Source organism: Homo sapiens, chromosome 6 (genome assembly GCF_000001405.40).
Source record: "Homo sapiens chromosome 6, GRCh38.p14 Primary Assembly".
NCBI lineage: Eukaryota > Metazoa > Chordata > Mammalia > Primates > Hominidae > Homo > Homo sapiens.
This window is the reverse complement of record NC_000006.12, coordinates 153,282,001-153,294,913: the sequence shown is the minus strand read 5'-3', so window position 1 is coordinate 153,294,913 and position 12,913 is coordinate 153,282,001. Positions and strand designations below refer to the sequence as shown.

Here is a 12,913-nt window from a genome sequence, read left to right as displayed (position 1 = left end):
TATTTTTTATGATTTATCTTATCTGTATTTTTATTTGGAAGACAATCTTCCAGCACTTTTATCAATTTTTATGAATATTTTATACTTTAGTTATCAATATCAAGAATGGAATTATATTTATCTATTACATCTGTGTTACGTTGGGAACTTATGATGCATGTACTCTATTTCCTTCAGTTCAATCTTTTTTTATTGCTAATAGAACTTGGGATTTTTAAAATAGTATTGAAATACATTGTATTTTTTAAATTTTACTTGTCACTAAAATGTATTTTGTATTTGCAAGGCATCTTATAAGAAGATTAACAGTATATATTAAAATATATACCAATAACAACTATTCAACAATTCACATATACTGTGTGCCACATGTATTTAGTTTAATAATAAACAATGTTTTTATTCCAAATATGTCATTATTTCTTAATTTATTTCATTTGCTATTTAAATTTAAGCAATTCTTTCAAGAATGAAACATTTTAAACCCAAATGTATTCTCCTCCCCGTGGGACACTCCTCAATATATTTCAAAACCATTACGCAACTGAAGTACATAAAATGATGTGGTCATCTCTGGTGCTATAATAAAAACGACTTTAGAAGTTGAATTTTCACAGAAAGTAGGACAAAATGGACAAAATCAACACAAATGATAAATAAGCGTATTAAAAAATGAGCATTAGTAGCAAACAAATCAAAATAATTACAATTTTTGCTTCTTACATTGGTAAATTTTTAAATGTTAATATTAAATGATGGCATGTGTATAATGATATGTGGGCATCTGATACATTCTTTCTGGAGTGCGATTCAGCATTATGTTTCCAAGAGACTAAAATATATTGAATCCCTTGATTTAGTAATCCGCTTTCAGAATTACCATGAGAAAACTGTATTAGATTGCTGGGATCAGTTGGACGTTCATCAAATGTTTTTTATAATACCAAAGATTGGAGACAGTACAAAGGCTTAACAATGAGAAGAGGCTAAATAAACCATAACACATATGTGAAATCAAATATTCACATGATAAAAATGTACTTTGAAGAATATTTTATGACTTGGGTAAGAATAAACTATATGATACTAACTGAAAATACTGGAAAAAGTTTGATATGTAATTTGGTCCTCTGATGAAAAAACATATAAGGATCATCAAGTTTGTCAGATTTAAAGCCTAGGTTCAGAGGAGTGAAGCTTTTTTCCAGATATGGTTGAATTCACTTCGATCCTACCCTTTTATTTTAAATAAAAGTGAAAGAGGCATCATATCTTCCACTAATTGCTTTTCACATTTCATTTGAGATATACTTCTATTTATACATATTATAACAAAATCTCTATGCTCTTTTCCCCAGTTCCTTCAGAGGCAATGATTGCTCTTTAATACTTAAGACATTTTTATATTTCCAAAATGTCTCCAGTGGTTAGTGGTTTGATTCTTGCTTATTTAGTTATTTCTTTTCAGAGCCAGTATCCTAAGGATTATAGTTCTGTCAACTGTTTACATATGGCTTTGCTTCAGATTCTGATTGATTTGTCTTATGTAATTGTGCTGCTTCTTCTTCCCACTTACGATGACTCTGCATATCCCTTGATTTAATCCCTATTTTTTCCTATAACTTCAGAAGCCATAATATTTCTTTGGTCCTTTGTGTTTTATTATTAATATCTCTAAATGCTTATCTCCCTCTCTAATATTTCCTCACAATTTTTCGTTCTTCTTCCATAAACTTCAGATACAGCTATACCTTCTGCAGCAATTTTTTCTCTTCCAACACTAGTCTAGTCTCTGCTTTATTGATACAGTTTCCTAAAATATTATACCTTTTTATTACTTTACTAATTTGGATATATGTATTAAATCTCCATCACCCAGTCCTCTTAATTTAATCTACAAAAGTCATTTACAACTTAGCCCTAAGCATTCATGATGGAGTCAGCGCTTCTCATTCCCTCTCCCCTCCTAATACCATCAGCACAACTCCCAGATGTTCGCCACTTCTTGCACAACAGACAGTGTTTCTCAATTTTACGTTGCCCTCCCCAGCAAATTTCTGAAACTCTAATGACCCCCATGATGTGGAACCTGTTGGTCTTCTTAGCTACAATATCACCATTTGCTCTTTAATTAACATCAGGGGAAGGCCAACTAATTCTCCAAGTTCCAATGAATGTTATTTATTTGATAGACTCCACATTCTACCATAGGCAAAGAAGCTAACTCCTCTGTGTTCCCATGGCATCTTACTTACATATAAGAATACTGTCTTGAAAATATTTGTTTATCTTTTCCTGTCTGCAAAAATGGACTCAGTTGATTTCTTTCCATTGTTCTATTTTCTGCTGGTATTTTCCAATCCCAGTTCCAAGTCAATGTGACTATTTTGCATGAACTGTTTGTACCACAAAATGTCTTGCTAAGTCACTCTGCCTCCTCTATTCACTGCTTCATTCCTGTTGAGTGTAAATTGAATCTTTAACCTTACCCCTCTAGGTGGTATTACCAAAATAAATCCTTCCAGCAGTCCCTTTTCTTTGTTTTTAAATACTTTTTCCATAATAAATGCATTTTCCTGCTGATTAAATTGCATTCAACTTCTCTACACAAGATTTTTCTAATTAAGCTCAGCAAGAAAAAATGAAATAAATATCAGTGCAAAATAAAATGAACCTACAGGTCTGGAGTTACTCATTTCCTTTTAAATAAATATTTATATGATTTTCTGCCCACATTAGAATTGGAAAATATTTTCTACAAAATGCACCTTTCCTTCTACCAAAATGGATAGATCATAACATTTCAAGAAGCTCACATATACGAGCAATAGAAAAATGGCAATGCCTTTAGTCAGAGTTGCAATTAAACTTAATTACTTAGACCTCTATGAATTGCTTATATGTTGTTTTCAGTGCTTTAACTTTAAGCTATTATTTTCTATTTTACTATTCTATTTTACAGTAGGATTTAATGTAACATATTGTGTTTTTCCATTATAAAGTTCTATAAAAGTTACAGAAGAAATTATTAGGCTTTGGCAAACAACTAATTAACCCTCTTAACAGTATTTCCTTGTATATGAACTTTCATAGTCTTTGCTGCATTTGCTTATTATTATAATGCAAACATCCAGGTAAATCTCAAAATTTAACCATCCAACTAGAGGTTTAACTTCCTATGATTTTAACTGGAAGATAAAATGTTCAGTTAGATACGTAAGTAGATTTTTATATTTAATAGCCAGTACTACTAGGTTAATGTAAATGATCTAAAATTTACATTAGCCCAAATTGTTTATTTCTGATTGACTGAGAGCTCTTAAATATGTCAAAAGACCCATGTGAGAAGAATTTATATTTGATCGATGCCAATCTTTTGTGCTGAAGTGGTAAAGTATCTATTCAGAGGCATTCACATTCTGGCTAGCTTTTTATTTGGTTTCGGCTCGTAGATTAGATGTCTATAAAGAGAATATGTTACCACCTAAGATGTTTTGCTTGTCTGTCATTTGGACAAGCTGAAACTATGTTTCCCAGAAACCCTGTTCATGTATGGTCTGTGTTGGAGATGGCCAAAATTGAAAAATTATTTGAGATGTGGAAGGCAAGATTGACAACTCTGTGGAACTCATCCGAGATCAGGGAAAAAGATGAAAAGGAGATTCTAAGTTGTCCCCGTTTTCCTCATTGTATGCCCAGCTCTTCTCCCAGGGCCTGCTGAGCAGGGCGTGATAATTCACAGTGGCCAAGGCTCTGTTCCAGATCTCCATCATGCTTCATGTTCCAACTCTGACTACAGAAGAGCTGGTTAGTGACTTTTCTCTGAATCTCTAATTTCCCTGAAAAGGCTTAAGAAAAACAAACAAACAAAGAAACAAAAATAAAAACAACTCTTCCAGCTTCTTCCACAGCTGTGTAAGGTGTCATGCTCATAAAGAATCTCTTGTTCTGCAATACTCGTAGAGATTCTACTTCTCTGACACACACTGACTGATACCAATATTGGTATCAGAATTCAGTCCAGGGGAACAGAACCTTAAGGATGAGAATGTATAATTAGTTCTCTGATCTAGTTACATTTAAAACGTTAATGGTTCTGTTTTTCTGTGTTAACCATATACTTACAGTCCACAGTATACAGTGGCAAAAAGAGTAACTTTGATTATCACCTGCAATCAAATGCTTACCAAAGGCAAGGCCTTGTGTGAACAAGTATTTGCTACCAGCCAGTATTTTAGTGGAAACTAAGGAGAATAACTCATATATGAAGTTGATTGCTTGATTCTAATGCATGGAGGACATGGCGAAGAAAAATCGTAAGCACAGACATTTAAATTCTAAGCTCAAGTTTTAAGTAGGGGACCAGAAAACTTTTATGAACACCCTAAAATAAATCCTATTTCCAAGAGCTTCAGAATCAAGATTTCTGAAGATTAAACCCTAAATCTTATCTACAGATACCTGAATTACTGTGCAAACTAAATTCCCATATTCACAAGCCTTTTTTATGTTAAAGTTAGGCCATAAATTGAAAAGGTGTGTGTCCTGAAAATTGGGATGAAGACTTCTGAGCAGATTGTGATGAAGTTGAAGACTTTGAACCCCTAAATTCTACTGAGCCTCACTGGCCTGTGGGAGCAGCCGTTATTCCCCTCTCTGAGGAGGTTAGCCTGCCCTTGCCTGCAAACCCATGCTTGCCTCTTATGATATAGGCGCTTTGCCAGGCATTGTTAATCCTCCTGAGGTCCCATTCCCACCACCTCTAATGAGAAGTGTAGACTTGTAACCAGACTTGTAACCAGAATCAGTCCCCACAGGCTTAGGACATCTGACAAAATACAATCCATGAGAGGTTACCCTACACACCAAAAGAATTGCATAATTTTGCCAATTTATAACACAAACCTGGGGAAAATATATGGGAACATAGCCTAACAAGTAGAATCTGAGTGGAAGAAATATGTTGGATCAGGTCAAATATATTAATATGGGTATACTAAGAAGAGATTCTGTATTCAATGTGTTTGCCTGAGTGCCTGGGAATGGCTCTACCTCTACCATTTGTTTAACTGGTGTATTGAGACATAAACCCAAAAGTGGCCCACAGAGAATGCACTTGAGATTCCAGAATTTCCTTGGTATAATCTAAAGGACAATAATCGAAGACTTGGGGAGACTGAAATGCTAGGGTAGATTTTTTATGTAAGATCTGCTTACTCACACCCTAACTAGAAGAGTCCCAAAGACATTTCCTTCAAGTCTTTGAGAAACACATTGGTGAAAGGTGTCCCAGCAACTGAAGAGCTCCATGTTGGTTCTTCCCTGCAGTCCAGGAACAACAGTGGAAGCTTTCACTGTCTAAGTGGGCTCTCTGAATTCAATGAGGATGATGAGATCCAGGAGTGCCAGGGGCCAGGTGGCAGCACTTAACTGCTAAGACTAGGAATCAGAATGGTTGGCAGACTCAAAGCAGTTATAGGAATGGCTTGACCCACAGAGAACTTTGATGTTCTATAATTAATCATATGTCTGTAGGACTGAAATTGATGGGCAGTCCACTAAAGTCTTACTTGACTTGCGTAAGTGGAAAGGTTTCAAATGCAGTAAATGTAAGGCTAACTTGAATCAGCATAATAGAGGTTGTGGCATATCAATCATTTTCAAAAATTATGCCACTTCATAGAACTAGAGTTCACTGAAGGAAGGCAAACTCATTTTACACCTCATAAAGAGTGGAAGTGGGCTCATGTCTTGTGGAATTCATGGCTATCATCATGTTAACCATCTTTATAAAGTGACTAACATTTTAGAATAATGGAATGGCATTTTGAAGAGTGAATTATGGCACAAACTATGATAACGCCTTGTGTGTATGCTCACATGGCTTACACAGGACATGCTCTTATGCAGTGATCAATATACAGTGTTGTTTCTTCCATAGTCAGGATTCTGGAAGGCCTAAACAGCCCAATAAATAGGGGGGAAAGCGAATAAAAGTGATACTTATCAGAAGTGAATAAATAAACTCTGTTACTATTTGGAGATGACTTGATGGTCTATGTAGAAAACTCCAAGGACTTAAAAAAAAAATCCAGTTTACTGCTGGACTACCAAACACTCATGTGATTTTCATTGAAACCAGTTAGAAGGTTAGTAAAATAATCTATTACAAAAATTTCTGCAAAGCTAAAGTTCCCTGCAATGACCCGTATCTGGTATCCTCATCCTATTGTATGAGGAACTACTGTCTCCTGGGTGATGAGTTGCAAGTGTAAGTTAGATGGGTCAATGTCATTCAGACAACATAAAACTGCTTAGTATTCAAATGATTTTTGGCTACAGTGTATAATGAAGAGAAAGCTGACAAAAACTAATTAAGAGGCAGTGATGCCTACAGTTGATAGAATCAGCTTTATATTTATATTAGCCAGTTTGAGTTTCTAGTTTCTACAATACCGTCTCTACAATTTTCAATAAGATTTTGGAGCTAGAGGTCATTTCATTATATAGAAAATGAGCATCATTTCAGGGTTGAGGTAATTATTAAGTGAACTATGTAAACAGCTTAACTCAATGTCTATCACAGATTAAGCCAAAATTCTTAGTGGCTCATATCATCACCATTATGTTTGTTATATTCTTATTATGAACTAGAAACTCATAGATAGTAACTGTACAGTCTATCAGTACATGCATTTTGTAAAGTAAAATAATTTCTGGCTGATTTTATATCATGCCCTTGAATTTTTTTCTGTCATATTTCTCATATATTCTTGAGGCATGTTATCAGAACATATGTTATCTTGCTTTATTTTAAGTATATGAGCTGTTTTAAATTATTTTGTAACAACATGGAGTTTATGTAAAAGCATAGAAGAATAGGTACAAATGTAAATAATCTTGGGCTAAAATGTAACAAAATGTCACAGGATCTTAAAAATTTTGACTTTATATAATAAAAAAGAATTGCAAGATATAATTGTAAGGAATTACACAAGTCAACTAGAATTTCAAATTTATAAACCACCCATTTTCTTATCAAATCTAAGAAACCTAATAAAACCCAAACAGGCCAAAATATTAAAAGTAAACATTTTGAAAAAGAAAGGGACTTGGGCAATTGTTTCATGGATTCATTCAGTTTCCAACCAGTCTGAGGCCACAAGTCCCCAAATGTGCATATTTCCCATTAGCTCATTACCTAATTTTATTCTCCTTGTACACCCTTGATCCAAAAATAAAATTAATTCTATACTGTTCTTCACTTTTCTTGTATAGATACGGCCTATTTAAAAAAATGTTCCTAGAAATAAAGCCACTAAGAAAGGATCTTGATGGGATTCACCTCATTATCCATGGACGCTGATCTGGATTTCATTAAATCATCCAGCCTAATTATATGTGAAGAAAAACACTTAGGGAACAAAAGTAACTGCGCTTAACACATTGGAAATATTCATCTTCATTAGCGAAGCATTTTCCTTCATAACCAAGGACTTAAAGTAATTTTCAAATAGAGTAGAAAATTCTTATAGAAGGTGTTACAATAACAACTATGTAGTATTTACTATTCTGGCTCATATATTTCTACTAGTCCATTTAGGATGCTATAACAAAATACCATAAACTGGGTATCCTTTAAACAACAGAAATTTATATATTACAATTCTGGAGACTGGGAAGTCCAAGAAGAAGGCACTGGCAGATTCAGTGTCTGGTAAGGGCCACTAACACACACATGGTATCTTGTTGCTGTGTCCTTACATGGTGGAAGGGAAGAGCTAGCTCTATGGGGTCCCTTTTATAATGGTGCTAATCCCAGGATTTCAACATATGAATTTAAGTGAGGACACAAACATTAATAGCAACACTTGTGAATGGTAATTTATTAATGCAGGAATACGGGTAAACACTGCCATGTGATGATAGACCCCCAAACCAAAAACAGGAGGTGGGGCATAAAGGGTTAACAAATAACATATCAATGTTGTGTTACCTGTAATTCAGATCTTTTAATAATTGCAGACATTTCTGTTGAAACATCACCATGCAGAATTGGAACTTTCCAATATTATGTATGATACGAAGATGACATTCTGCATTTTAAAAAGCAAAGATGTAAAGTTGAATAGTTGATGTGACATCTAGGTATAACAATAATCATTATTAACACTGCTTAAAGATGTGATATTGGATTTTTGAATAAATATAATATTTAACTTTTTAAATATTTATTTTGAAAACATACACTCATTTAAATTATTTCCTTTAAAATGTCTATTTTAATACATGTTATAATTGTGTAGGAAAAGTCTTATGACAGAAGAGGTAAAAGCACATTTCTTATTTTTGAATATGCTTTGTGTTTTCTGGTCTGAAATATCTCTGGAGACTGTAGTGCATGCAAACTAGACCATTAAGGACCACAGATTTACTCTCACGGAATGCTAAAATGTATTAAAATTGACGTTAAAAATCTAACATCTGAAACACATATTTGATTTCTTATTTATATTATCTATTGCTGTTCTTTCCAATATAGATGTGAGTTATTGGGTTTTCCAATTAATATTCTACTTACGAAGGAAACGCTTTTATTCCAAAAGCAGGAAAATGGCACAAGTGATAAAAGAAGGCATGACTTACAAGCAGACTTTTATTGCTATCCATTATACCGTCTTGAAGTACAATTGCTTTAGTGTTTTCTTATTAAAGGGTTATATGACGGAAGGCTTACTAGAAAATTGCACCTTACAATATATTTTCTGCTAGAGGAGATTCACATTCCTAATGTTATTTTTACTAAATCAATTCATAAATAGTCACTATGTTTTGAAAAGTAAACCATATATTTAGGTAGAGAGCATGCATAAACAAGTGAAGAAACTAAATGTTCTAAATGGAATATGCCTTGGTTTTAACTATTAAATTGTTCACATCTATATACTACCTAATCCCGAGTTCACACAAAATTAAACAGAGCAGTCATCTATTTATACACATATTCTTATCATACCAGGACAACTGTGTTTTCCACAAATCCTGGGAATTCGACAATTCCACTTTGAAAGATTTATTTATTTGTGTCTTGAAAGAAATTTTGTCATTAAGAATTCTGCGTAAAATACCTAGGAATCCAACTTACAAGGGATGTGAAGGACCTCTTCAAGGAGAACTACAAACCACTGCTCAAGGAAATAAAAGAGGATACAAACAAATGGAATAACATTCCATGCTCATGGGTAGGAAGAATCAATATATTGAAAATGGCCGTACTGCCCAAGGTAATTTATAGATTCAATGCCATCCCCATCAAGCTACCAATGACTTTCTTCACAGAATTGGAAAAAACTACTTAAAGTTCATATGGAACCAAAAAAGAGCCCTCATTGCCAAGTCAATCCTAAGCCAAAAGAACAAAGCTGGAGGCATCACACTACCTGACTTCAAACTATACTACAAGGCTACAGTAACCAAAACAGCATGATACTGGTACCAAAACAGATACATAGACAAATGGAACAGAACAGAGCCCTCAGAAATAATGTCGCATATCTACAACTATCTCATCTTTGACAAACCTGACAAAAACAAGAAATGGGGAAAGGATTCCCTATTTAATAAATGGTGCTGGGAAAACTGGCTAGCCATATGTAGAAAGCTGAAACTGGATCTCTTCCTTACACCTTATACAAAAATCAATTCAAGATGGATTAAAGACTTAAATGTTGGACCTAAAACCATAAAAACCCTAGAAGAAAACCTAGGCAACACCATTCAGGACATAGGCATGGGCAAGGACTTCATGTCTAAAACACCAAAAACAATGGCAACAAAGCCACAATTGACAAATGGGATCTAATTAAACTAAAGAGCTTCTGCACAGCAAAAGAAACTACCATCAGAGTGAACAGGCAACCAACAGAATGGGAGAGAATTTTTGCAATCTACTCATCTGACAAAGGGCTAATATCCAGAATCTATAATGAACTCAAATGAATTTACAAGAAAAAAACAAACAACCCCATCAAAAAGTGGGTGAAAGATATGAACAGACACTTCTCAAAAGAAGACATTTATGCAGCCAAAAGACACATGAAAAAATGCTCATCATCACTGGCCATCAGAGAAATGCAAATCAAAACCACAATGAGATACCATCTCACACCAGTTAGAATGGCGATCATTAAAAAGTCAGGAAACAACAGGTACTGGAGAAGATATGGAGAAATAGGAACACTTTTACACTGTTGGTGGGACTGTAAACTAGTTCAACCATTGTGGAAGTCAGTGTGGCGATTCCTCAGGGATCTAGAACTAGAAATACCATTTGACCCAGCCATCCCATTACTGGGTATATACCCAAAGGATTATAAATCATGCTGCTTTAAAGACACATGCACACGTATGTTTATTGCGGCACTATTCACAATAGCAAAGACTTGGAACCAACCCAAATGTCTAACAATGATAGACTGGATTAAGAAGATGTGGCACATATACACCATGGAATACTATGCAGCCATAAAAAATGACGAGTTCATGTCCTTTGTAGGGACATGGATGAAGCTGGAAACCATCATTCTCAGCAAACTATCACAAGGACAAAAAACCAAACACCACATGTTCTCACTCATAGGTGGGAATTGAACAATGAGAACACATGGACACAGGAAAGGGAACATCACACACCGGGGCCTGTTGTGGGGTGGGGGGAGGGGGGAGGGAGAGCATTAGGAGATAGACCTAATGTTAAATGACGCGTTAATGGGTGCAGCACACCAACATGCCACATGTATACATATGTAACAAACCTGCACGTTGTGCACATGTACCCTAAAACTTAAAGCATAATAAAAAAAAATTAAAAAAAAAAGAATTCTGCGAAAGGCAGCGCGCGGTGGCTCATGCCTGCAATCCCAGCACTTTGGGAGGCTGAGGCAGGTGGATCATGAGTTCAGGAGATTGAGACCATCCTGGCTAACATGGTGAAACCCGTCTCTACTAAAAATACAAAAAATTAGAAGGGCGTGGTGGCAGGCACCTGTAGTCCCAGCTACCGGGGAGGCTGAGGCAGGAGAATGATGTGAACCCCAGAGGTGGAGCTTGCAGTGAGCCGAGATCACTCCACTGCACTCCAGCCTGGGCCACAGAGCGAGATTCCATCTCAAAAAAAAAAAAAAAAAAAAAAGAATTCTGCGTAAAAATATAAAGACTCTAAATAAATAGAAGTTCTATCTCATGGCTGCCATTTTGCAGCCCTTCACTCATTCATTCTTAAACGAGGCTGAGGAAAGCAGGGTGGAAAGTATTTTCTCATCAGTGTCTTTGCACTTTAAAACTATGAACATGTGTTAAATCCTAGCTACTGAGGAGGCTGAGGCTGGAGCACTCCTTGAGCCCAGGAGTTCAAGTCCAGGCTAAGCAACATAGCAAGACCCTTGTCTCTGAAAAACATTTGAAAAATTGAGCCAGGCTGGGTGCAGTGGCTCACAACTGTAATCCTAGCACTTCGGGAGGCCAAGGCGGGTGGATCACTTGAGGTCAGGAGTTCGAGACCAGCCTGGCCAACATGGTGAAACCCCGTCTCTACTAAAAATACAAAAATTAGCCAGAAATCTCTTGAACCTGGGAGGTGGAGGTTCCAGTGAGCCAAGACTGTGCCACGGCACTCCAGCCTGGGCGATAGAGAGACACTCTGTCTCAAAATAAGTAAATAAATAAGCCACAGGTGGTGGTACATGCCTGTCATCCCAGCTACTCAGGAGGCTGAGGTGGAAAGATAACTTGAGCCCAGGAGTTGGAGGCTGCAGTGAGCTATGATCGCATCACTGCACTGCAGAGTGGGTGACAGAGCAAGACCTCATCTCTAATTTTTTAAAATTTTTATGTATATACACTACCTGATGAAATTATAAATTAAATAGTTTAAAAAGGAAGAACATATAGCAGATTTTGAACTTGTTGCAGTGGTGAAATTATTGATAGTTTTTCTCTTGTTCCTCTGCATTCTGATTTTCTTGAAATTGACTTCTATTCGTTGTGTTACTAAAAGAATATTGATTTATATTTTTAAAGTGTGAATAGGAGTTGAAAAAAGTCTTAACTCCTATTCAAGTCTTTCTAGAAATATTGCTCAAGAAGAAGAAGATAGTTTTTTTTTTCGTCTGGGCTGCCAACATGCCATCCAGACTGAGGAAGACCCGGAAACTTAGGGGCCACGTGAGCCACCGCCACGGCCGCATAGGCAAGCACCGGAAGCACCCCGGCGGCCGCGGTAATGCTGGTGGTCTGCATCACCACCGGATCAACTTCGACAAATACCACCCAGGCTACTTTGGGAAAGTTGGTATGAAGCATTACCACTTAAAGAGGAACCAGAGCTTCTGCCCAACTGTCAACCTTGACAAATTGTGGACTTTGGTCAGTGAACAGACACGGGTGAATGCTGCTAAAAACAAGACTGGGGCTGCTCCCATCATTGATGTGGTGCGATCTGGCTACTACAAAGTTCTGGGAAAGGGAAAGCTCCCCAAGCAGGCTGTCACCGTGCAGGCCAAATTCTTCAGCAGAAGAGCTGAGGAGAAGATTAAGAGTGTTGGGGGGGCCTGTGTCCTGGTGGCTTGAAGCCGCATGGAGGGAGTTTCATTAAATGCTAACTACTTAAAAAAAAAAAAAGAAGAAGAAGAAGAAGAAAAATGGAATACTGGAAATGTGAGACCAAAATGAGAAATCCCAGAGCATATTGGTGTGGTGATAATGACCCAGCAGACAGGGAAAGCAGGTGAAGGAGAGAGAGGAGGTAATTGCTGTGTGAAGTCTTTGCGGAGGAAAGAGACAATAGGATATCAAGAACGGGTCTTCCCTGGGAGCATGAATATTTCACCTCATCCATTTCTACAGGAGTGAAGGC

The 12,913-nt window shown here is 36.4% G+C and overlaps 1 pseudogene; it reads left to right on the top strand.

Annotated features, from left to right (window-relative positions):
* RPL27AP6 (ribosomal protein L27a pseudogene 6) lies at window positions 12,160-12,665 on the top strand (annotated as a pseudogene).